The following is a 26,819-nucleotide window of genomic DNA, read 5'->3' on the forward strand; positions in this document are numbered from 1 at the left end:
CTACCATTAACTTGGATAAATCCCATAAATTCACCCGACCATGAGCACAAGTGCTGCTCAACCCACCCAGCCACCCCACCCGCAGGCCAAAAATACGAGGCAGCACTTGCCTAGTGACTCACATCCTCTGCCTGGGCCCCGCCCCTCCTGCCTATAGTCCTGCTTCGTGCGACCTTCAGGGAATATATAGAGTTGGGGGAGATTTCTCAGGATATTTTTGGGAGACAGCTGTTTGTGATTCAACTTGACAGTTATGGGTGGCTATGGCCAAAAGGGGGCTGGGCGCGGAAACTAGAGCTGGGGAACGTGGGCAGGGAACCGGTGGACGTGGAATTCCCAGTATAATGTTGCCTTATATACACTTACTAAGCGCATGGATGGGTGAATGAATAAGTGAAGGATTGACTTCTCTATCTGCCTTAGAGGGTGGAGTTGAGGTCAACCAAATCCTACTCAGAAATTTCAGACACGAAATATCAGATCCTAAATGAAGAATTCCTCTTCTGCAGTGTTCACGGCATGGCACGTGGTGGCCGCCACAGAATGATTCTCCCCTGTAATCGGTTTCATCCCCAAACCTTGGTGAGATGTAAACCTGCTCCTCCAGGCCTTGACTTCCGCAGTTGGGCCAAAATGTGTTTCCTGAGACTGTGTCCCCACTCGATCCTGAAATGTTCACTGCTTTCATGGGGGGAAATGAAGGAGGGGGATCTTGTTCAAACAAGATTGGGAAACACTATACACTACATTTCCCTCTTGGATTTTACAACATTCATTAACACTGAAGACGGAAAAGTCCTGCAATAAAGAAACCTGGTTTGTTTTTTTTATTTAACCCAACATGTTCCAAATTTACTTGTCCAAGAAGAACACATTTTTGCAAAGTCTCGGTGTGGTAGAGAGAACGATGCCCCCTCCTCCACCAAAGACGTCCACGTCCTAATCCCCAGAACCTGTGAATACCTTACCTGGCAAAAGGAATTTTGTCAGTGTGATTCTGTGAAGGATTTGGGGATGGAGGGATTGTCCTGGATGATTCAGGTGGGCCTAATCTACTCACAAGGATCTTTAAGAGAGAGGCAAGAAGATTAAAGTCAAAAATGACAGGACGATGACTACAGGACAAGTTTTGAAGAGGAAGAGGCCACAAGTCAAAGAATGTGGGTGGCCTCTAGAAGCTGGAAAAATCAGGGAAATGGATTCTCCTGTGGCATCTCTGCAAGGAACACAGCCCTGCTGACACCTTGATTTTAGGACCTATTTCAGAGTTCTGACCTCCAGAATTCTAAGAGAACCCATTTGTGTTGGTTTGAGCTACTAAGTTTGTGGCAATTTGTTACGGCAGCCATAGGAAATACGTATTGATTACTAGAATTTGGGAAGTGAGGACACCCCTGCTTAATGATCACACACTGTAAATATGTGTCCCCAGCAGCCCATCTGCTTCTCAGCTTCAGGCCCTCCTGGAGTTTGTGTTTGTGGATATGGTAAAAAGCTGTTGAAGGATCGCATCCTTGAATAAATCAGTGTCTGTTATTACCTGTTTTTCTCAAAGCTGGTCCCATAGAGCTGGGACTAACGGGCTGAGCTTCTGTTTTCATGGCTGGCCCAACACAAAACTGTGAAAAGTCTCCTCTGAGGGGACACAGCTGGGAAGAGCACATGCCAATGTTCTGCCCAGGAGTGATGAGTCTCTAAGAGTTAAGGGCCCTGCTGTGAACATCCTGACCTTCTCAAAGTTCAGGGACAAATCTAATTAAAGAGGCACTGTCACACTTCTCAGCCTTCTCCACAGAATCCTTTGGGAAACCAGTTCTATGTCAGTGTTTCGGGCCAAGAATCAAAGTGACCAAGATTCTCAGAACAAGCCCCTGATGGATGTTTTGATGTAAAGGTCAGAGAGGTTGAAAAACAAAGTGTAAGAAGCATAAAACCATCCTGCCAAAAGTTTTGCAAAGGAGACCTGCATCCGAAATGAAATTGCTGAGTCAGAAGAATACCTCCAAATTCTTTGTTCTTCACCTGTTGGGTCTTTAATACAGAAATTCAGGAGTTTGTTGAAACCCATAGTTCACTTGCTTTGGAAGCAGTTACAATGTACTGTTCTCCAGGGAACATCCACCCGAGTGACACAGTACGCAGTGTCACACACAGGCCCCATTGTGCGCCTGCCCCCAAGTCTCTGGGTTCATTGTTTCCTTTGGAACATTCGCCCCAACCTCCACGCATCCAAGGCCTGCTGTCTCCAAGGCCTGTGCCTCCAATAGGCTGCCCTGGCTCACCAACCAGAAACAATCTTTGGCTCCCTAGAGCAGTGAGTCACCCAGGCCCTGGTCTCTCTGGGGGTGCCTCAGTTCTGTGCATGCCCTGCCTCCTTCCTCTGGTCCTATGTCCAGGGAGGGTTTGTCCTCATCCGGATCCTTTGCATTGCACCTACCAGGAACACAGTCTACTTTATGAAGGAAACATGCTCAAAGCATTCCGGTTCTTTCCGAGTCCCAGCAAAGGCTTTGCTGCCTGGCTGCACAGCGTCTCTTATATTTGTCTCCCTGAGTGCATTGGTTTCCTTGGGCTGTCCTAGCAAAGTACCCTGGACTCAGTGGTTTAAATGACAGAACTGTCCCGGGTCTGGAGGTTGGAAGTCCCAGGCCAAGGTGCAAGTGGGGCTGGTTCCTGCTGAGCCCCGAGGAAGGCACGGCCCAGGCCTCCGCCTGGCTCCTAGGGATGGCCAGCAGTCTTTGGCATTCCTTGGCTTGTAGAAGCATCACCCTGGGGTCTGTCTTCCTCTTCACACATCATCTCACTGCATGCGGATCTGTGTCCACATTTCTTCTTTCTATAGGACACCAGGCATAGTGGATTAGGGGCCCACCTTACTCCTGCATGACCTCATCCTAACTTAACTAATTATACCTGCAGCAGCCCTAGATCCCCATAAGGTCCCCATCTGAGGTACTGGGGGTTAGGACAACATACGCATTTGGCAGAGGGCAGGAAGGGGAACATAATTCAACCCGTGACACTTTGTAACAGAACCCTCTTTTTGATTGAGGTGGCAATGTGGCCAGCCAGAAATGCTTCTCAAAACTCAGCTCTGGCTGGGCGTTGTGGCTCATGCCTGTAATCCCAGCACTTTGGGAGGCCAAGGCAGGTGGATCACTTGAAGCCAGGAGTTTGAGACCAGCCTGGGCAACATGGCAAAACCCCATCTCTACAAAAATTAGCCAGACATAATGGCACGCAACTGTGGTCCTAGTTACTTAGAGGTTGAAGTGGGATAATTGCTTGAGCCCGGGAGGGTGAGGCTGCAATGAGCTGTAACTGCACCACTACACTCCAGCCTGGGCGACAGAGTGAGACCCTATCTCAAAACAAACAAACAAACAAACGAAAACCCAGCTCTAACAAATGAGATGTAAGTGAAATGCTATTGGGTGGGGCTTCTGGAAAAAAGACTCGTGTACCTCTTCCCCCTTGCCCCTTCTTCCCTCCTCAGCATGGATGTGATTCAGGAGGCAGAGCAGCCACAATGAGGCTGAAGCCACAAGCTATAAATGGAGGCAGAAGCCAGAAGGAATCCAGGCTCAGGATGACTTTTTTGAGCCACTACACTATCTCTAAACTAATTCCTTTTCACCTGAGAAAAATAAACTTTTCTTCATTTGAGTCAGTGGTTGTCAACCAGGAACAATTTCCTGCCCCCAGGAGACATGTGGCAATGTATGGAGACATTTTTGGTTGTCACCATTAGGGGTGGTCCTACTGGTATCTGGTGGGTGGAGGCAGGGATGCTCCTTAATGCCCTGCGGCGCACAGGACAGCCCCCAGAACAAAGAATTATCAAGCCCCACATGCAATCGTGCTGTGGTGGAGAGACCCTTGCTGAAGTCACTGCTGACAGGTTTTTATACATGAAATCCAAACAGACAGAGGGAGTGCAGCAGGGCCAGAAGAAGAACTGGCAGCAGGAACTGGAAACATTGGGAATGAAACTGGATTTTCTCCTGTTCTCCGGGGTCACCCAGCCTCCCCTTTCCGTTTCTCTCTGCAAGCCTATGCTATTCTTTTCTCTGCTGAGCAGGGCTCTTTGCTCCTTGGTAAGTCCGTAGCCAAATGCAATGTTCCTGCATCCCCTGAGTGTATGTGTCCTCTGTTGAAACTGCAGTTGAAGCTGACTTGTATCTCTGAATCCAGATGCCTAATTCCTGGAATACAGAGTTTGACTGGCCCATCTTGAGTCAGGTAAATTAACTTTGCTTGGGGAAGCAGGTCATGTAGCTAAATGTGGCTGCTATGTCCCTGGCTTAGGGGGTGGAAGGAGAGGCTAGAAGAAGGAGTTTGCTAAAAATGGGGGTCACTGGCTGAGAAGGCTGCCCAGTAGGTGTCTTCTTCAAGGAGGGACACAATTTCTCAGTTTTTATTCTTCCTAGTGCCCAGCACAGTGCCTTACAAACAGTAAGTGCTCAGTGAACAATTGAGGGGTGGTTGAGATGAGAAGAAAATAGCAAAATGCTCTGTATCTGAGGCCCTGTGGCATCATATCATTTATCCAGGAGCCCCAGGTGCTGGATGGTTAGGAAGGCCCCTCTTCCCGATCAGTCTACAAATATTGGTCCAGTACCATATGGTAAGTGCCTTCCATGCACACCTGCTCCACATATATTTACTATTTTTTTTCTGGGTTTCCAGAATTCTTTGACACCTGTAGCATATTTACTGTAGTTTATTATTATTATTTTTTTACACATTGACATTTGGACCCAGTGTTTCAAATGTAAAACTCCTTACCTAGAAAGTTATCAGAAGTTAAATAAAAATACAGGCTGGGCTCAGTGACTTTCGCCTGTAATCCCAGCACTTTCGGAGGCGGGTGGATCGCTTGAGCTCAGGAGTTCAGCCTACGCAAAAACTCCGTCTCTAAAAAAAGTACAAAAATTAGCTGGGTGTGGTGGCGCATGCCTGTAATCCCAACTACTCGGGAGGCTGAGGCAGGAGGATTGCTCAAACCCAGGAGGCGGAGGTTGCACTGACCCAGATCAGCCACTGCACTCCAGCCTGGGTGACAGAGCGAGATCCTGACTCCAAAAAACAAAGAATACAATGAGCATATTATTTGCTAACAACTAACATTGTTTAAAGATAAATGTATCCCCTGTCTCTCAGCTCTTTGGGCACTGTAAATATTTTGTAATTTAGTCTTTAAGCCCCTCCCCCCTGCCCACTTCCACCCGCCCAGCTCCTCTGGGGCCAGGCCTCTTCCTTTCTGCTCTCACACCACCCCTCTAAACTGGTCTGTCAGTCTGTCCGGTTGTCAGGGCTGACTGGCTGACTTGATAAACTTGTTCCACCAAAGGCGTTTCCCCCTGGGCAATTCGTTTCTTTCCCAACTCTCTCCCCGCAGACCCTGGAGGATGGTTTGTGTCTTAACAGGAGCATTCCAAGGACAAAATCTAATGACGCAGTGGTGGCAGGAGTTTTGTTCATGGACACAGGTCAGTGGGGAAGAGCATTTTAATGTAGGGCCTTTCCCAGCAGTCACCAAATCTTCATAGTAATCCCCACGAGTTGAGCACCTCCATGTGCCAGACACTATGATATGCACTTACAGTGGCACAGCCTCACAAACACCCTAAAAGATGGACATTAGCATCTGCATTTTGCAAATAGGAGCAGAGGGTCACAGAGCTTAAACAATGTTCTTCCTCAAGGCAGCAAAACAAATAAGAACCAGCCCTGAGGTCCAAACCCGGAGTCTTTTCTTTCAACCCGTGCAACCTCCCTACCCCTCCTTATATCCCATTGGCCTCTCACCGTGTTCTACGAGACCACAGCCCTTCGAGAGTAGACATGCATGTCCCCAGCCAGCCCAGAAGGAGATCACAGTAGCTACTTCCAGGTGGCGGAGGAAGGGCCCTGTCAGCCACAGGCCTTCTGCAGTCTCCCTCCTTGTCTCTCATGGACAGTCCCTGGAGGAACTGCTGCGTCCATGGCCACATCCCAATGTCCCATCTGCAGTTACCAAGAGAAGACTTGCTAAGATGTTCAGGGAAGAAAGGACATCATTCAGTGCTAGAACAGATTCGCCAACACCACAGCTCTTCTCCTGCCTCTGTGTCTCAACATTCAGACTGAAACTCTGAGTTCTGCAGCCCAGGAAGAGACTCCAGGAAACTGGGGGCCACTGTGCCTGCAGGCTCGTTTTCAGTCCCACCCCTCAGCCCTCCCAAGAAAATCCATAGAGAGTATCCTTCAGCATTTGTGACAGGGGAACCAGGGGACCCTCAGAATCAAAAACCCGTGGCCAGGCTGAAACCTCACACTTCACTTTCCCTAGAAATACCTACATTGAAAGAAGTTTTGCAAATCAAATCATAAGTATGTTGGAATTAATGATATACTATTAAATCCACTGTGGTGGCAAAGTCTTGGAAAATGAACTTTGTGTAATTTTTAAAAACACACTTCAACTCATCTCTTTCTTTTCTTTCTTTTTTTTCTTTTCCTTTTTTTTTTTTTTTTTTAGGCACTGGCACGATCTCATCTCACTGCAGCCTCCACCACCAGGGTTCAAGCAATTCTCCTGCCTCAGCCTCCCTAGTAGCTGGGATTATAGGCGTGCACCACCATGCCCAGCTAATTTTTGTATTTTTAGTAGAGATGGGGTTTCGCCACGTTGGCCAGGCTGGTCTTGAACTCCTGACCTGAGGTTATCTGCCCGCCTTGGCCTCTCAAAGTGCTTGGATTACAGGCGTGAGCCACCACACCGGGCCGTCACCTCATTCTCTTTACTTTCTATACCATCCTCTGAATGTTTGAAGGTGAGGCACATTCTCAGGCCAAAAATCTTTGCCAAAACCCAAGTTTAAAAAAACTAAGAAAAATTTGGTAAACTGGAATTCCTGACCTTTCCTAAACATCGTCAGCAATGAGTCTCAGCCCTTATCTTTCTGCCTGAAGAGCTCAGGGCTCTTCAGGGTCAGGAGTGAGGAAACCGGAAGAGGATGAAGAATGCGGGGTGCTAATGAGATCACTTCTGTCCTGTAGTTGGAAACCCGGCAAGAGTCAGAAGATCTGGGGCAAGAAATGAACCGAAATCTTCACTGAGTGCAGCAGCCACAAGCTTGATGACAGAGCCTGTGTATTTCACTCCAAGGCTGCACGTGTCTGTAAGAACGGGCCTCGCCCATCTTATGCAATTTGCATAGGAATCTGAGGAATATCAGCAACTCTATACAATAACTAAACAAATTTTTTTCAGAGTAAAAATTTGTTATGGAGCTTAAATAAAGACTGACAAAACATTGCATTCCTTTTTCCTTGAGCTTCTTTCAGACTAGCGGGCATCAGAATGTATAATAATGGAGCTCTCTTTGGAAAATGGTGACAAGGCTAAGGTTTCTGATTATAGCTACAAATGCTTTAAATAGCGATCATAATTAATTATTAAGAGACGTAGTCTTCCTTTACACATAGAAGACTAAAACCTTAAGGAAAAAATAGGAGATGTCGGTACATGATCTCTTCTAAGGCACTAGAGCTTTACGTGGGATTAATGTCGGTCAGCGTTTTAGGAATGGAGATGTCACTTTTGAGGAAGTGTCTCCAGGAGGTGTACTTGCCCTCACAAAGTCATGATGAAGGAAATGCTGTGCTTTTCTTTGAACTGGTGCTACCCAATGCTGGGGGAAGAGGAGGAAGATCAGACACTTGCTCCGTGTATCTCCTCTCTGTGGTTTGCAGAAGACATGTGCCAGACACAGGAGAAACTGTCTACTCATTAGCAGAGACACTAAAGGGTCTAGACGGTGCCCAACGGGGGTGGCATGTGGTATATAAAGGGGTGAAGAAAGGAATGCAGCTTGCTAGATTCATTTCCCTTTTCGATTTTCGGCAGGCTGACTCTCATTTCCCCAAAGGACATGCAGAGTTGGCATGGAGGCTCCCAGCCTGGCCGGCCCCTGGCAGGAGCTGTGGACAAAACTCTGAAATGTGGGGCTAAATGTTCAGAAACAGCAAATGCTGATAACTCCTCCAGACCTGCTGGCATTCTGCCTCCTGGCCACTCACTCCAACAGCGTGGGAGGACCGGGTAGGGGACAGACTGAGGGAAGCCTGTGCAGGCATTCATGTGTGCAGAAGTACTGGTTTGCACACGCATCTGCGTGTGGCTGTGTAGGCTGTGCTGTGTTAGCAAGAAGAAAGAAGATCACGGAGAGCATTCAGACGCCCTTCAGCTGGACATTCAGCTTTTTCTTCTTCTTCTTTTTCTTCTTCTTCTTTTTCTTCTTCTTCTTCTTCTTCTTTTTTTTTTTTTTTTTTTTTTTTTTGCCTGCTTGGCTGCAAAAGTCCAGAGGAAGTGAATCCACACTTGCTGATGACCTCATTTCCACCGCTTCCCAGCAACCCCGCCAGCCTCTCAGGGGGAGGCTTATTCAGCCAGCCACTGGGGACTGCAGGGAATGGAGACTGGGGAGAGCAGGCCTGCAGCTGCACCCCAATTCCACTCCGCCAACCCCTACTCCCACCTCTCCCATCACGGGTTGCAGCTGGCCTCGTCATTCTTAAGAAAAGGGACTCAGGTGATAGTCAGACCGAGTGATGAGGGATCTAAGCAGACAGGATCCAGCCGACAGGCCGTGGTTGTAAGTTCTGTGCAGAGAGACTGGACTGTGACAGGAACAAGTTTCCTGTGAGCATGCCATGGAAATTAGTCACCCAACAGAATCAGCAAAACATCTATTATTGATGATATTTGCCAAACTGGAGACAAATTGAGTGCTTTGTCCTGAACCAGGGATGATGATATGTGACTTTTATTAAATCAATAGATCAATTTAAAGCCAATAAGTGAACTTCCAGAGATTGATCAAAGCCATGGATAACCCAGGGAGCTGAAAGGTCAACTCCCCACGAAACAGCAGCTTGTGAACAGCGGAGACAGCCTGTGACTTTGCAGAAAGTTAAACACCGCATTCTTTTCCTTTCTCCTCTTATTCCTTCAGTTTCAGAGAAAAGTAGAAACACGCTGTATTGTGCAGCTATGTATGTGGCACGTGCATTGTTTAAAAATGTCATAGGCACTGCTGGACCCTGGGGAGAGAAACTCTGTGACGTTCAAGTGCTTTACACCAACAAGGCCCCTCCAGGCACATTCCCACGTCCTTCAATATTCATATTTGTAATTTGTCGCCCTTATACAGATTAGAAAGTTGAGGTTCCTGGAGGGGCTAAGTGACCATGCTTGAAATGGGAGGGAGAAACGTGAAGCACAGATGTGGGTATGATTCACAAACTTGCTGCCAAGGAAGGCCACAGTGTTGCACACAGGCAGGAGTTCCCCGCGGGCCTGCACTGGATCGGAAGCTGCAGACTTAGAATCGCCTCCGGGTTGGCCCCGCCCCCTCCTGCTTGGCCCCGCCCCCTCCTGCTCCCCGCCCGGTGCCACCCTCCTCCCCAGGCCTCTAGGGTAGAGCCAGCTGGGAACTGTTTCTCTACATACACACAGCACTTGTGTGCACACACACAGAAACACATGCTCACACACACACAGACACACACACGCGCACACGCAAACACATAAACACACACTCCTACATATCACACACTTGCATGCATCATCACACACTCCCATAATCACACACACACACACTCACACACACAAAACCACATAAAAACACACATACACACTCACACCCACAAAACCACATAAAAACACACATACACACTCTCACGCACAAAATCACATTCATACACCATAGATATACACACTAACACACACACAAATACATAACTACATACACACAATCACACATTCACAGACATCATCACACACATACAGACTAACATATACATAAACACGCATAAACACACACATAAAAACATAACACACGCACATAAACATACACACAGAGACACTCATGCACAGACACATAAACACACACTCGCAGACATACACACACAAAAACACACACAGAGACACCCTCATACACTCACACACATAAACACACACAGACACTCATGCACTCTCACAGTAAACACTCCCACACACAGACACTCACGAACACACTCTGTCACACACAGAGAACACAGGGCCATCCCAGCAGCACTCAGTGAAGACTGCGGGGCTGCATCCCGCTCCTCACGCTCACCCCATCCCGCCCTCCTGCGCAGCAGGCTCAGGTCACAATGCAGAGATTGAAAAACGCCATTTTCATGTGAACATTCAGAGAGGAACAGAGAATGTTAGTACAGGACACACAGTGGCAATACTGAAATGAGAAAAAGTACTAGATTCTGCTGGGCATGGTGGCTCATGCCTGCAATCCCAGCCCTTTGGAAGTCTGAGGTGGGTGGATAACTTCAGGTCAGGAGTTCAAGACAAGCCTGGCCAACATGGAAAAACCCCGCCTCCACTGAAAATACAAAAATTAGCTGGGTGAGGTGGCGCATGCCTGTAATCCCAGCTACTAGGGAGGCTGAGGCAGGAGAATCGCTTGAATCCGGGGGGTGGAGGTTGCAGTGAGCCGAGATTGCGCCACTGCACTCCAGCCTGGGCAACAGGAGTGAGACTCCGTCTCAAAAATAAATAAATAAATAAATAAATAAATAAATAAATAAATAAATAAATGAAAAAGTACTAGATTCTGAGAATGGCCTTTCTGTATATTAAAGGAAAAGACATTGCTTGAGGGAGCTTGGTAAGAGTGGCGACCAATCGTGAAGAAGAAAAGGAAATACCATGACAGCTTCTTTTTTTGAGACACAGTCTTGCTCTGTCGCCCGGGCTGGAATGCAGTGGCGCCATCTCTGCTCACCGCAACTTCTGCCTCCCAGGTTCAAGCGAGTCTCCTGCCCCACCCTCCTGAGTAGCTGGGATTACAGGTGCGTGCCACCATGCCCGACTAATTTTTGTATTTTTAGTAAAGACGAGGTTTCACCATGTTGACCTGGCTGGTCTCGAACTCCTGACCTCAGGCGATCCGCCCACCTCGGCCTCCCAAAGTGCTGGGATTACAGGCATGAACCACTGCGCCCGGCCAGACAGCTTCTTTTAAAGCTTGTATCTGGAGAAGGGTATATCTTTGAAGTGTGGGTTGGGTTTACCAAGTACAAACTGTGCTCTGAAAACTTAAAGGCTTTTTTGATAGTGTTATGGAACTCACAGATCAAGGGCACAATGTCGATATTCTATTTCATGCTTGTTCGGCAGGGCCTCTCCTATGGGGCCTTGTGGGGCTCTCTTTGCACAGTTAGCTCACGTTGGCTTGGGTGCATCTCAGGCTGGTGGATCAGGCCCTCAGGTGAGAGGAGGCCACGTGGGTGCTGATCACGCAGACAGTGTGAGTCCTGGTGTCCTGAAGAGATGGCTCCAGGGGCACTGCAGGGTCTGCGTTTGAAACTGTCTACTGTAGAGAAAGATCAAATCCTGATCAGGCAGCACCAACTTTCAGTCAGTCCACCGTGAAGGTCGCACATTTAACAAACTGAAAAATTAACATTTTTAACTGGGCACTCATTGTGTCAAGTAACACTTCATCAAGCTTCGTGTTTAGAAGAAAAGTTGTTCAATTAACACTTTACCGAACTCCTTGTGTATAAATAAGAAGTTGTTAAAGGACTCAGAGCCGGAACCCACAAAGCCTACATTCAAATAAGGTACCGAAAACAAGAATTACAGAAACAGAAGAAACATATTCTTTATGGCTGTTCAGAAATGTCAAGGAGTCGCTAAAATAGCTGGGGTGATGTGGAGGCCTCAAGACAATTTGAATCAAAAGCCTCTTCAAGGAGTGTGAAGAAGAGTGGGAGGGATGTGAGTTTGTGTCCAGGAGAAAGGAGGGAATGCCAAACAGAACATCTCGCATGAAGCAAGCTGAGAGGCAAGAGTGGCAAGTGCCCCGTGACAGGACGAGTTTGGGGAGAAGACAGAAGAGCCAGCTTGGACTTCATCTGCACCTTAGGTGGGAAGGGACTCCAGTGGAGAGCTGTGGAGGTCTGGGCCAAGAGCTGCAGGTTTTATTTGAATGGAAATGACAGACATTGAGACTTCCAAGGAAAATGGTCCAAGGGCCAGGGAAGTTCTGCGGACACAGGATGAGGGAGGGCGTCACCTTCGGAAGTTCTGGAAGTGGAATCACCTGCTGTGCGAATGGGAGATGGAAACAGGTGACGGGAAGCCGCTTCACCGGCGGGTCAGAGACGGGCTGAATCCTGGGGACAAAAGAAACTCTCAGATAGCCCAGAAGTTATTAGTCCAGGCTTCAGGGGTGGCAGGAGTCTGGTAATAGAGACACAGAGAAAAGATGGGTGCACGAGAGCAGCCTAATGCGGATCTTGGATTTAGATGTGTATAGCTTGAAATGCGAGTGGATTTCTAAGTGGAGATTTCCTACCCCCGCCCCCCTGCCAAAAAAGTTATAAATTACGGCTGGGCTCAGTGTAGGTGAGTACAGTAGAAACCATGGCCTTGGAAGTACCAGGCTCTGGCACTGTGTTTGCCCTCACACTGTGGCAGAAGAGACTTGGGTGCCCAAGACACAGCTTCGACAGCTGCGGAAGCCCAGCCTGGGGGCTTGCCTAGCCCACAAGTAGGAAGATCCGTGGTCGATCCAATTCAGTGGAAGAATGCTGATTATTGCATTGATCCTTACTGTCAGAGGTCACCAGTAGAATTCCACTGGATTCTTGCTCTTGTCCTACAGGACAATTTTTGTTAAAAAAAAAAAAAAAAATATATATATATATATATATATATATATATATATACATTCTTTATGCTCCCTTCTCTCTCTCTCTCTCTTTTTGAGACAAGGTCTCACTCTGTTGTCCAGGCTGGAGTGCAACGGCACCATCTCAGCTCACTGCAGCCTCAAACTCCTGGGTCAAGTGATCCTCCCACCTCAGCCTCCCAAGTAGCTGGGACTACAGGTGTTCACCACCACACCCGGCTAATTTTTTAGATTTTTATAGAGACAGGGTCTCCCTGTGTTGCCCAGGCTGTTCTTGAACTCTTGGGCTCAAGCGATCTTTCCACCTCGGCCTCCCAAAGTGCTGGGATTATACACATGAGCCACCACACCCAGCTTCTTTTTATTTTTAATAATTTTGGAGGGAATAGTCTTAGATATACAGAATAATCATGAACATTCTACATTTGTTGTCATGTTTCCTTAGTCTCCCCTGCTCTGTGACTTCTCATCTTGTTTTTGGTGACCTTGACAATCTTGAGCACTACTGGTCAGTTACTGTGTAGAATGTCCCTCGACTTGTTTTTCTTTTCTGATGTTTTTCTCATGAATAGACTGCAGTTAATGGGTTTGGGAGGAAGATGCAGAGGTAAAGTGTCATTCTTGTCACGTCACACCAAGGGTACATGCTCTCTGTGTGGTTGGCCACTGATGACATCGGCCTTGGTCCTCTAGCTGAGGAAGTGTTTGCCAGGTTTGTCCAGAGTAGCTACTTTTTTCCTCCTCCCTACGCTATCTTTGGAAACATGTCACTAAGTCCAGCCACCCTCAGGGCACAGGTAGGGTGGTGGGTGAAATCACACTCCACAACTTGGACGGGAAATATCTATGTAAATAATTTGGAATTCTATTATAAGAAATATGTGTTCCTTCTCTCCCATTTATTTATTCAATCATGTATTTATGTCAATGTGAGCTCATATATTTGCTGTATTCTTTACGTTATGACACAGTACTATGTTAGTTTCTTTTTTGCTCAAATTCTTACAGCGTTGGCCATGGGGAGATTTTTCAGGTTGGCTCTTGCGCCCCTCTGACATGCCCCATCCTCGTGTTATTCAAGGGCTTTCTTGCTTTTTGCCACTTCAAGATCCTGCAGGCTCATCCTGTATTTTCCCTGACCCAGCCCTAGAATGAGCCATTTCTCCAAAGAGCCCTGGTTCCCCTCACTGGAGAATTGTGTTTGGAAACCAAGATGTGGGCTCAAGATGTGCTTGAGGCGGCTGCACTTCCTTGCTTCTAGGCCCTCTTGGCAGACAGAGCTAGACATCGATTCTGCACACCCATTGGTGTATACACACGGCTTCAATTATTTGTGTATTCGTCTCCTGGCATCTATACTAAGATACACTTGAGTTCACACCGATGTCTCTGACTTCAATCCAGCAGCCTCTCCCCTTCTGCATCTGCAACTTCCCTCTCCAGCGGGAAGAAAGCTGGCTTCCAGCATCTGCCACTCATTTACTTCTTTGCTTGACCTCAGTGTATATGTCAAGCTGACACAGAATTGCTAACCTGTACCCCATTGAGAACTTTCATCTGTGCTCTTGACACCCAAAATGTTCACATGTAAAAGCGTGAAGGCAGCATAAAGGCACATGAAAGAATCAAGATTCAAAAGGATTCCAGCGATCAACTAGAATAATGAATCCAAGTAAAAATGCCAATAAACACAAGACGCAAGCGTTCAAAAATAACTAAATGGCACAGGCAGAAAAGAATAGAGACCAAGTGAGAGGGGGAGAAGGGTGGAGGAATTTTTTTGACCCCAAGCTCAAGGTATGAGTTACTGCTAAAGACAGCCAAGGGATATGAGTCTGCAGTGATGAAAATAGAATATTCCAGTAAAAGAAAGAAAATGCCCCACTGGCCTGTGCACAGGTCAGACAACATCTCTACCGATGCATTTATATCCATCCTTTGAAAGGGTGTGTAGGAGGCCGGGCGTGATGGTTCACGCCTATAATCCCAGCATTTTGGGAGGCTGAGGAGGGCAGATCACCTGAGGTCAGGAGTTTGAGACCAGCCTGGGCGACATGATGAAACCCCGTCTCTACCAAAAAAAAAAAAAAAAAAAAACTAGCCAGGTGTAGTGGCGGGTGCCAGTAGTCCCAGCTACTTGGGAGGCTGAGGCAGGAGAATTGCTTGAACCTGGGAAGTGAAGATTGCAGTGAGCCAAGATTACACCACTGCACTCCAGCCTAGACTACAGAATGAGATCCTGTCCCAAAAAAAAAAAAAAAAAAAAAAAAGAAAAGAAAAGAAAAAAGAAAGGGTGTGTAGGAGAGAGAGAAGAGCTGTACAGGAGGGACAGGACCACACTCTCAAAAGACTAGCAGTGGTGAGATGTACCCTACCCCACTCCAGAGGACAGAACTGAGACCAGCGAGCCTAAAGGTCACTCCCTCCCTGATGGGGCTGAGCAAGGATGTGGCAACTGACCAGTCCCATACACTCCTGATTTGGGGGACAGCCCACTGTCTGCACAATTAAGATCCACAAGACCAGAGGGCAACACTAGGAGTCATACCCTAGAGAAAGCTTCAAGAAAAAGCTACAGAAGACAGTCCATCGGGGTGGTGAATGACAAAGTTTCAGTGAAAATGCAAATGAAGTGAGGAACCAAAATAAGGCAGGTCAAGGGACTAGGAAAGCTGAGATCAAGGGTCAGGGGGAGAAGTGGCCGGGAGGAGATGCCTGAGGATAAAAATCCCACCTTCTGTTCAATGCCAGCTATTGTTTGCCGGCAAGCTGTGTCTGCTTGAAGGGTACAGAGCAAAATGAGCATAATGAGGATGACGAGAAGACAGAGCTTGTTTGATTAGAAGATAAATTTCCTAACAATTACAGTTGTCAAAAAATAAAATCTAACCCCTATCCAGAGAGAGTTTCAAACAGAGTGGGACAGGCAACACTAGCAGTGGTGACTGCCAAAGACCATCTAGTGCAGACATGGCGTGACTGTTAGAGATCAGCACGTCCTGGCCGGAGGCACTCTGGGCTCTGTTGGGTTTGGAGGACAACTAAACCAGGGTGAACAGAGAGGGTCCCCAAGGAAGTAAATGATAATACAGATTCAAGATGCCTGGGATGAAATAGCTCAGATGCCATACGACACTGGAAACATGTATGATTTGACTTGGCATTAGAAATTGCTTTTGTTCTTTCTTTGACATACATATTTTTAATTTAAAAAGATAACCTCAGCTCTCTGGGCTCGAACCTAGTTGGCCGTAACATGGTTGAATGCACCAAGAGAGTTGGAATCGTTGATAAATACGGAACCCGCTAGAGTGCCTCCCTCTGGAAAACGGTGAAGAAAATCAAAATCAGCCAGCACGTCAAGTATACTTGCTCTTTCCATGATAAAATTGAGGTGAAGAGATGAGCTGTGGGGATCTGCACTGTGGTTGCTGCATGAAGACAGTAGCTGGCAGTGCCTGGACCTCTAACACCACTTCTGCTCTCACAAGAAAGTCCACCATCAGACAACTAAAGGATTAAAAGACCAGTAGACACTCCTCTCCTCTTTGAGACATCGCTAGCCTACAATAAATGGGTTAATTTATGTTAAAAAAATAAATAAATAAATAACCAGCTGGGCACGGTGGCTCACGCCTATAATCCTAGCACTTTGGGAGGCTGAGACTAGCGGATCACCTGAGGTCAGGAGTTCAAGACCAGCCTGGCCAAAATGGTGAAACTAAAATACACTAAAACTGTATTTTGTATTTTTGTACTAAAAACACAAAAAATTAGCTGAGCATGGTGGTGTGCACCTGTAATCTCAGCGACTCGGCAGGTTGAGGCGGGAGAATTGCTTGAAACCGGGGGAAGAAGTTGCAGTGAGCTGAGATGGAGCCATTGCACTCTAGCCTGGGCAACAAGAGTGAAACTCCATCTCAAAAAACAAACAAACAACAAAAATAAAAACCTTATAAAAACCCACACACTAAGTTGAGGCCAGGAGTCCAGAATTCTTTTTACGTATTATGTTTTTATTTTTTATTTTGAGAGACAGGCCTTGCTGTGTCACCCAGGCTGGATGGCAGTGGCACCGTCATAGCTCACTGCAGCCAGGAACTCCTTGCCTCGAGCGTTCCTCCCACCTCAGCCTCCTGAGTAGCTAGGACTACAGGTGTGCGACACCATGCCCAGTTAATTTTTTTTTTTATTTTTGTAGAGCCAGGTTCTCACTATATTGCCCAGGCTGGTGTTTCAAACTCCTGGCCTTGAGCGATCCTCCCACCTCGACCTCCCAAAGTGTCAGGATTATAGGCATGAGCCACCTCGCCCGATTAGGAGTCCAGAATTCTAATCCTGATTCAGGCATAGGCTTCTTGTGAGATCTCAGGCCAATTACTTGCTTCTCTAAACCTTGACTTCTCGAGCCATAAACTAAAGGGATTGGACCAGGAGATTTCTAAGGTCTCATCTAGTTTTGAAATTGTGTGAGAAGACAGTCCGCCACCCAAGACAAGACTGCATAGTGTCACTTTCCTAGAATGTAATGGAGCCCCTTTTCCAACCCTGGCTATAGTTCCTTAAATATCTTTTTTAGCAAAAGGAAAATGGATTGAAAAACACAAGACAGCCGTCTACATCTGACTCCCCACCAGGGACAGAGTTCAAATAGCGATGAGGAGAAAAAATATGAATGGATTCAAAGTTTACAAATAAAGGAGCCAAAAAAGTCACCTTAGATCTCTCACAGTCCTTCACAGTGGGTGCCATAGAGAGGCCGGGATGGACGAGAGGTGAGACTAGACATGATGTCAGCGTGCGTTTAGAAAGGAACGTGGCACACAGGCTGGCGCTATTTTGGCTTGCACGTGGAGAGACATCCTGTCACGAGATATTATATTCTGTGTGGGCACCTCCAAGTGCAGGAACCAGAAGGACTCCCGAGGGGTGACAAAAGGACAGAAAGCCAAGAACCAGCACCAGAGCTGACGTATGAGCAGGGTGAGCCCAAGCCTGGCACCTCAGAGGCGTACAGCCAGAATAAGTAACTCAGAATGAACAGTGGACGGGAGCGACTGGCAGGTGAGGAAATGCTTGATTTGTGAAATGTGAATACACGTACGTCCAGGGTGAGACCAGCCCGGTCAACAGATACACATTAGTCATAGGGAAACTGTAAGGCCAACTCCTGGACCAAGATTCTGAGCAAAAGATTTTAGATAAAAGTAAATGTATCCAGAATCACAAACAGAAAGTGCACACTGGTTACCGGGGAATGGTGAGATGATTTGCCAGAAGGATTACCAAGAGCACCATCAAAAACCATTCCATTTGCACGTGGTAGGAATAATCCTTCTCAAACCAGGAGCTTGGCCAGAGCTGCTTTGTGGTCCTTCCTGGTCTCCATAGGCCTATGCACGTCTCTAGAGTTGACCAACTGTGTGGTCAGGCTGTGGCAATGAGCAAGGAGGTGTTGGTGACTTGAAGAGCTCCTTCCTGACCTTGCAACTCTAGCATGTGGGGAAGGAATGAAAGAAAAGGCTTAGGTTTGGGAAAATTTGATCATTCTGTTAGTCTGTCGGCAAACTTCTTGAGCTTCTAAGGTGGACAAAATACTGAATTAATGAAGGGGTTGGAAAAAGAAAAGGAATGTTCTTTTGAAGCTCAAATCACAATATAATTAGTAACTGTAATAACTGTTAAAATAACAAAACAAAGAGATGTACAGAACTGATTTGCAAACATGATACATGCTTATTGGACATTCTGGGGTGCCCAGGGTGAGTTCAAACACAATGGAAGAGTTTTCCTTGGGAAGGAGTTTGGAAGGCTGAGGGTGGAAGCAGGCCTTTGTCAAGCACCTTGCAAGACCAGATGTCCTGTGTGTGGTCTTCTGTAACCCCAGGAGTCCTGGAAGCAAGGTAAGTAGGGTCAGTCCTGCTTTGCAGATGAGGGAACAGCCTCAGAGAAGTTAGCCACTTGCTCGCATTACAGCTAACGAGTGAAGGGGCACAGATTCAAATCCAGACTGGCTTCCCTGGGCAAGCCCCTCCCACCAATCTCCATGGCCACATGATTCACCTAAATGATGGGTCAGATAGAAATCGATTTTAGAATGTGCCAGCTGTGGACAATGGTAAATGAGAAGTTGAGAGATGCAAGCTGAGAAAGCTTCCCGTGGGAAGTCTATTTCGAATGCCACATTTGGCGAGCTCTGCCCATGGGCTGCGAGTTCACTGGCAGATTAGCCCTGATTCTTTTTAATTTTAATTTTTAAAAATTTGACAAATAATCATTGTACATATTCATGGGCGACATGGTGGTGTTTCAATACCTCTCATGCATAGTGATCAGATCAGGGTAATTAGCATAGGCAACATCTCAAACATTTATCATTTCTTTGGGTTGAGAGCGGTCAATATTCTTCTTCCAGCTGCTTGCAAGTACATAATATATTATTGCTCACTCTAGTCATCCTGCAGTAAGACAGAGCACTAGCCCTGGACTTGAGGAGAGCTTGGCACTGCCTTTCACAGGGCTTTCTTTTACTGCAGTGTTCTCAAGCAAGATCCGCCCGAGGACACGGGGGAAGCCTGGTGGGAAACACTGCGGGTGCATTGGTCACACTGGGTTTGAACAGGGAAGACAGCACACCCTGGGGGGTTCCACCTATTCCACTTTCCAAAGATTCTGCCTGTAAATCAGAGATTGGGATCCCAGAAGCAAAAATGTTTTGAATGCTTTCTTTACTCTTTGTTAATTTGGGACAAAAAGAGTTGTCAGAACCCAAGGGCTATTGCCTGGTGCCCCTGCTCCCAGAGAGGGAAAATCTGAGGCTTCTGGTAGAACTGTTTTCCTCTCTCTGGCTCCATTTTGGTTTCCACTGCCATTTCTCCTTTCCCACGGAGAACAGGGCAGCCTGGGTTATTAGTTCTAGAGATGAAAACTTTATCTTCTCCCAGAGGGAACTTGCTGCAAGCATAGGGTTGAACTGGAGTCAATTCTGAATGTGAATCTCATGTTTAAGAGCCTTGAAGGTTCTGATAACACTATATAATATTTCCACATGGTAATATCAAGTTCTAGAAGTTAAAAATGGGTCAAAATGCAACTCTTCAGTATCATGGTTCCCATGGGGACCCTATACTTTGGGCCCTCGAGCCTTTCAGAGGCCTTGACTCACCAGCCCTAACCTGGCCCGGGGTGCCAGATCTGACTCCCAGCCTCGACTATATGTCACAATATGACATGGGAAAAGCCACTTAGCCTCTCTGTGCCTCAGTTCCAGATCTAAAATCTGGAAATTCCGTGACCCAACCTCCAGAGCTCCGGCTACAATGCTTTAAATATGGCATTCTGCATTAGACGTGGACATGGGTAATTAAACACCTCATTACATATCTGTAGAATGAATGAAAGAATGAATGAATGCCAGTCAAGGCTCCAAAAACCATTCCCTTTCCTTGAAAACTTTGAAAGAACAATCAAAGGCAAAGTTCAGCAACTAAAAGCTGGAGACTTTGATTTGCAGTCACTGAACAAGTCGAAAAATCTTAGTAAGAGACACTTGAACATTTTAAGTATCATCTTGTGGTAATAATGACCTCTCATGCATATTTATGTGCTTAGCTTTATAATAACCACTTGAAAGACTGGGTTTCTCCCCCCCAGGGAATGAAGCTATGTGAAGTGTAACAAAATATTTCAAGTTCAAAGGTCCAAATATGTAAAATGTAAAATGCTGAAATTTCTTCCTCAAGTAGAAAGCACCTTGATGCTCAAGCCAACCCAAGGACTTGTTGATTCGCGGAGCTTGTGGACATTCAACTAAGCCTGGAAAGTCCCCAAACGCATGTCTCCCCCACCCCCAGTGTTCTTCCTAAGGAGCACTGGCCAGTCTTGCCGATGTGTGTGCACTTAGTCTGAGTCAAGACAGGTGAGGCTTGCAGGGGAGAAAGCTGGTTCTTAGTCAGGTGTTCAACAGAGAATTCCAAACAGGCTCCACCGCCAGAGCTGCTCTGCAAAACCCTACTGTTACAGTTACTCAATGTCATTCATTACCCTCTCAAAGTAAAATCATATGACCCCATTTCCTCAGTAAGCTAATTATTTTATTCCTTTGTATGAGGCAAAACACTACTTTTTTTAAATTAATATACTAAAATTAGGTTATACCATTCTGGACATGTAAAATTGAGTTTAGTACTTTCAAATATATATTTTTAAAGGTGGCTAAAAATAAATGGCTTAGACGTCTTTTCTTTTTCCAACTGAGCATAAATTTCCTTCCTGTGAAACTCCATCTCTTCCTGTTGTTATAGATGACATAATGCCATTTATTTTTCAAAGGGAGGGGAAATCATAATAATGAGGCCTTCAGAACACATTTCAAAATTCAGATATTTAATAGTTGAGAAAAAATAAAGAAACAAAAAATACAACAAAAGAGAATCACCCATAGGTTTCAGGAACAAAATCATTAAATGGAAAAATGAGAAGAATTCTTTATTTTTGGACCAATTTTAGGCACTTAAGAGTTTTCTTTTCTTCCTTTCCCCTTGATCAAAGTGAAGATATGATAGGGAATTCAGAAATTTCTCTTCTTGAAGAAAAGCAGAGATAACCTGTCCATCCTAGTGAAAGAAAGCACAAACGATTCACCTGACGGTGGACACAAAATGACTCCTTCATTCTCTCAGTTCTTTCTGCTGTAATGAAATTCCACCTGATACATCTAGCCATAGCACACTGTTAATTACTTTGCTATTTATTCAGTAGCTGCACAAGTGGAAAGCGATCTATTGCCAGGGAATTGTCTGACTCCTATGCTAAGTAGATGGCATTCCGATCCTAGGAGGTTGAAGACAGCCAAAGCCTAACTTTACCTCATTGCCAGGTCAAATTAGCACCTAGCAGGTCCTAAGGCATTTTTTTTTTTTCCTTCACTGCAAAAGACCAATAGTCCTTAGAAGTCAATAAACCGACCCTGGGCCTTCTCTGCTTGTTTTATCAGCCCCTGCTTCTTTTCCCCTGAAGATGGAAGGAAGGAGTAAATGTAGAGTTACACGGCATGGGTGAGGGCTTCATGCTAGATCTAATGGTAAGGTCTTAGCCTTTCAATCCATGATGCAAGATGTACTTTAAAAAAATGTGCTGTGTTTCCCAGAGATGAGCAAAAGCGTGAGTTCACATCTAAATAACTAGGAGGTTTCCAAGTCCACAATAAGACTCTATTCCTTTGCACTAGGCTTTCATCAAGCAAATGTGTGAATCTGTGGCCACATTAATAGGAGCCTGATGTGCCTTCTTCACTCTGGGGTCATTTGGTGGTCAGCTGAAAGGAAAACAGAGGCAGAGTTAAGACTTATCTTTGCAACCCCCTTGGGGTTTTCCAGGAGCTGGAGAAGCAGCAGCAGATGCTGCGGAGGTCCAGCTAAAGCAGTTACTTAAGTAAAGAGGAAGAAGCACAAATCTGATGACAATGAAAGATTAACCCACATTTCTCTTCCCTCTAACAACAGGGTGAGGTCTTTTAGGTGAGGATCTCTCACTATACAGAGTAGAAAATAAGACCCTGTCTCCATGTCAATCTTCTCTCATCTTGCTCTGCTTTTTCTGTTTTCTTTGTTTGTTTGTTTTCCAGGAAGATTGCAAGATGCCTGGTCTTTTTCTGGAAGAGTAAAATAAGCCCTGAGAAGAGGGGCAGGTATAGGAGATCAAGAGAAAGACAAGCTAGCATCGAACACTCGACTTCTCGTTTCCACCTTTTGGTTAGACTCACTCCTTTATTCGAGTCATCAGGCCCACCGAGTGCCTCGGTCCAGCTCTGTCCCCTCTCCAAGACTTCCGGAGCCCACCCAGCCTCTGAACCCTGGCTACTGCCCTACCCCTGTGTGGCAGTGGCATCCCCGCCACGCACTCTCTCAAGGCCTCCATTGCCTCCAGCCTGCGAGGTGATGCCCTTGCTCCTCTGCCTTGAGAAAGGTCTGCCCTGCCATCGTTCCTAGCATGTGTCTGGTCTCCTACAGGACCTGGTGTGACACCCTGTGACCCATAACCTCAGCAAGGGAAAGGGGGGCCAGGGCACTCGTTCTCTCTCTAAGCTCCCTGTCACCAGATGTCAAGCCCTCACCCCATCCTGCTGCTCTGTGGATTCCCTTTCTATTTCCTTCCACTTGCTGTGTGGTGGGGAACCTTCCTATCCTCTTTCTTTCCTCTTCCACTTCCTGTATGGCGGGGACCTTCCTGTCCTTTTTCTTTCCTCTTCCTTCCACTTCCTGTGTGGCGGGGACCTTCCTATCCTCTTTCTTTCCTCTTCCTTCCACTTCCTGTGTGGCGGGGACCTTCCTTTCCTCTTTCTTTCCTATTCCTAGCTCCCTTGCTCCCTGCTGTAGAATTGAATCCCATCCAGTTCTGCAATAAAGCCAATTTTTCAGGGTGTCCACTGAAGCCTCTAAATGATGAGACATGTCCCATCGACGTTCTGAGACTCCCTTCCCTGGGGCTGACTCCTCATCCGTCTCCCCTTCTCTCCTGACTTGGTGGTGCTAGCCACACTCCTCTATCCCTGACCCTGTCAATGTGGACAGACACCATCTCTTTATGGGAATGTTATTTTTTCAGGGCTACGATTAGACTGTCTCTCTTTTTTTTCCTCCTGGTGGGAGAGTCAATTATGCATCAGAGTCTATTAATCTTATAAACAGTTATGGAGCTGAAGAGGCTGAATCGAACAGCTGAGGCTTTCAAGAAGTTGGAGTACCAGGGCCATTATTATAATGAAGTTTGGTGATGTATAATCATGTCTCTGGGTGACCAGGCACAATTCTTTAAGTCTGAGAAATGTAAATGATGTGAATTTTTTACAAAGTTTACAAAGCAGCCTCTTCAAAGCTTGTGCTCATGGCCACGAGCCCCCAGGTCCCCACTCTGGGGGGAGCACCTCCCTAAGCCCGATCAGCCAGTCTCTGGCACCCTCATCCCTGATGGGCTGGCAAATTCAATGGACTACAAGGCACTTCCTCCTCCTCCTCTTCCTCCTCCTCCTCCTGTCCTGCCCACACAGGGCCTGGGAAAGAGGACAGCTGGGCTGTGGATGCGATTCTGTCCTCTTCTACTGAGACCTGTTTGTTTGTCTGTCTCTTAAATTTGGTTCAGTGGCATAAAAAAAGAGAATTTATCTTTCTCCCCAGATGCAACAAACAGATGCTGGGGAGCAGAGACCTTGCATAGTCAATAAAAGATAAGTTATAAAATCTATAAAACTGCTGAAAGAAATCAGAATTTCAGCAAATTCTGTTTTTTTCTTATTTTCAGGCTGCTCCTTTTGATCAACAATGGGGAGGGGGGGGAAAGCTAGTCGTGCATAAACTTCCATCTGTTATTACAGCATGGAATGAATGTGGTTAGAAGAGGAACAGAGGACAGAGTGATATTTGAGCTGTGATATTGACAGAGTGGAAATAGAGAATGGTGCCAGTGATAAAGACAAAGCTGTCATAATCAATTAGCATTTAACTTTTTGTAAAGATCTTGGAGGCTATGGGTTCTTTAGATTTTAATGTGCGTCTTCAAAGTAATCTTGTAAGCTATTTAAATGATGCTCCCTTTTTACAACTCTACATAATTTGATTATACAAACCATCCTGCAATCCTTGGATATGCAAATGCAACACCAAAATGATTTTTTCCCATATTTTGATAGAATTTGATGTTCCTTGCAGTGATAAGAAGTGACACAAATTGCAGCAAGGCATCAGTAACCCATTCATCTGGCACACTTTGGACATTCAGATTTTCAATGCCTGCTTGTTGAGAATCACCCTTAAGAATAAAAATTTAGGCTGGGCGCGGTGGCTCATGCCCATAATCCCAGCACTTCGGGAGGCCAAGGCAGGTGGATCACAAGTTCAGGAGATCGAGACCATCCTGGCTAACATGGCGAAATCCCATCTCTACTAAAAATACAAAAATTAGCTGGGTGTGGTGGCTCGTGCCTGTAATCCCAGCTACTCAGGAGGCAGAGACAGGAGAATCACTTGAACCAGGGAGTCAGAGGTTGCAGTGAGCTGAGATAACGCCACTGCACTCCAGCCTGAAGAAAGAGTGGGACTCCGTCTCAAAAATAAATAAATAGAATAAAAACATAGAAACCGAAGGCAGGGCAACAACTTGTGTTTGGAGAAGATTGCCTTACATTCTGATCCTAAGGCTACAAAGATGCTGAGCTTGTAAATGAGATTCTCAGAGCCTCAGTTTCCTGACCTGTAAAATGGAAGTAATAAGCTGTAGCTCACAGAAAAGTGGTGAGGGTTATCAGTTAGAGTGAAAACACCTGGCAGGATATGGCGACGATGCTCATATGGCCCCCGCAGCTGTCATTACTCTAACACTACTACCATGTGTACCACCACTAATAAAAATCTGGGTTATTTCCCTGGCAATTCCTTGGCAAAATTAGGTTTCTTTTTTCTTTCTTTCTTTCTTTTTCTTTTTTTTTTTCAAGCAGAGTTTCACTCTTGTCGCCTAGGCTGGAGTGCAGTGGCATGATCTTGGCTCACTGCAACCTTCGCCTCCTAGGTTCAAGCGATTCTCCTGCCTCAGCCTCCCGAGTAGCTGGAATTACAAGTGTGAGCCACCACGCCCTGCTAATTTTTGTATTTTTAGTAGAGACGGGGTTTCACCATGTTGGCCAGGCTGGTCTCGAACTCCTGACCTCAGGTGATCCACTCGCCTCAGCCTCCCAAAGTGCTGGGATTACAGGCGTGAGCCACCACGCCTGGCCAGCAAAGTTAAGTTTCAAACGAGTATCACGTGGTGTAGTGATGCTGAGATTATGACAGTGGCTGAGCTCTTGGGTGATCTGAGAGGACGGGACAATTGTGATGCTTCTTTGAGGAGTCCTCGCCAGGAGAATCCCAGCCTCCAATGGCCGATCACCCATTCACCCATTCGTTCTGCATTTCCTCAGCTCCTTCAGTGGATCAGACAGTGTGCTGAGTGCTGAGGATGAAAGCAGGTACAATTGCAGGCATACTCCTTGACCTCTAGGCATTCATAGACTAATGGGGATGGACAAACAAATTACATTACCATGAATAAGCACCAAATGGGTGCAAACCAATCAAGTTCCATAGCTGGCAGTGTGAGGACAACCAATCTGCCTGGGGCAGTCACAGAAAACCTCACAGGGGAGGTAATGTTTGCGCTGAGGCATGAGAGAGGAGTCAGATCACTAGACAGAGAGCCTCAAGAAGCCTGTCCCCATCTGAGCAGGGCTAGAGACAGGGGTGGTTTGACCACAGGGGACATTTGGCATTGTCTACAGACATTTTTGATTGTCCTGACTTGGGAGTGCTACTGGCCTCTAGTGAGTCAAGGCCAGCCAGGGACATAGCTACAATGCACAGGACAGCCCCTGTGTGAGAAGAGTCATCCAGCCCCAAGGTCAACAGTGCCCAAGCGGAGACACCCTGACTTACAGGAGCCAGGCGTGCAGGAGCGGCAGGTCCGAGGGCACACAGGGCGTCTCCGGGACTCAGCGTGGCCCCGAGGTCTTCCAGTGCAGGGAGAGGAGGCTGTGCATGTGGCAAGGTCAAACCTTGGAGGGCCTGGAGGCCATCAGGAGTGAAGGTTTTGTCCTGTTTCTCCTTACACTTCCCCTAAAGGGGCCCCATTGTTACAGGAAACTAAACTCGGTCCCCCTTAACAGGTAGCAATAACATGAAGAGCCAAAGTTCCTGTATTATCCTGGAATTCAAGGAAATTTTGCTTTTTTCCATAATTAAAATGAAAAATAATGGTGTAGTCTTTTTCCACTAGAACTTTAAATAAAATCAATCCTTCAGGAAGACAAGTGTTCACATGGAACCCAGGATGAGATACGTGAACAGGCACAGAAAAGCCCTGAAGGGTTTGGAGCAAGGGGCTGGCCTGAGCAGATGTGTGGGTTCCTGTCCTTCTTCCCACAGGTGGCACCAGAGTGGGCCAGCTCAGGAGAGCTGACAAAACCCACGTCCCCAAAGGACTGACTCGTGGTTGGGTGCCTTTGAGATCCACGGTCACAGCTCTACCTTTGAGCTGTTCCCAGCAGCAGTGGGACCAGAGGAG

The 26,819-nt window shown here is 46.5% G+C and overlaps 1 long non-coding RNA gene and 1 pseudogene across 2 annotated transcripts; one reads left to right on the plus strand and one right to left on the minus strand.

Moving 5' to 3' along the window:
• Positions 15,985–16,261, plus strand: RPL37AP4 (ribosomal protein L37a pseudogene 4; annotated as a pseudogene).
• LOC105378099 (uncharacterized) lies at positions 21,097–24,569 on the minus strand. Of its 2 annotated transcripts, none has more exons than XR_007059931.1 (2): positions 22,843–24,569; positions 21,097–22,044 (listed from the first exon to the last, which is right to left on the minus strand). It is a non-coding gene; the product is annotated as an uncharacterized LOC105378099 (long non-coding RNA). The 2 variants fall into 2 exon arrangements; XR_001743897.2 differs by having other exon boundaries at positions 21,097–22,380.
• Between the last annotated feature and the right edge of the window lie 2,250 nt (positions 24,570–26,819).

Source organism: Homo sapiens, chromosome 6, assembly GCF_000001405.40.
Source record: "Homo sapiens chromosome 6, GRCh38.p14 Primary Assembly".
Taxonomy (NCBI): domain Eukaryota; kingdom Metazoa; phylum Chordata; class Mammalia; order Primates; family Hominidae; genus Homo; species Homo sapiens.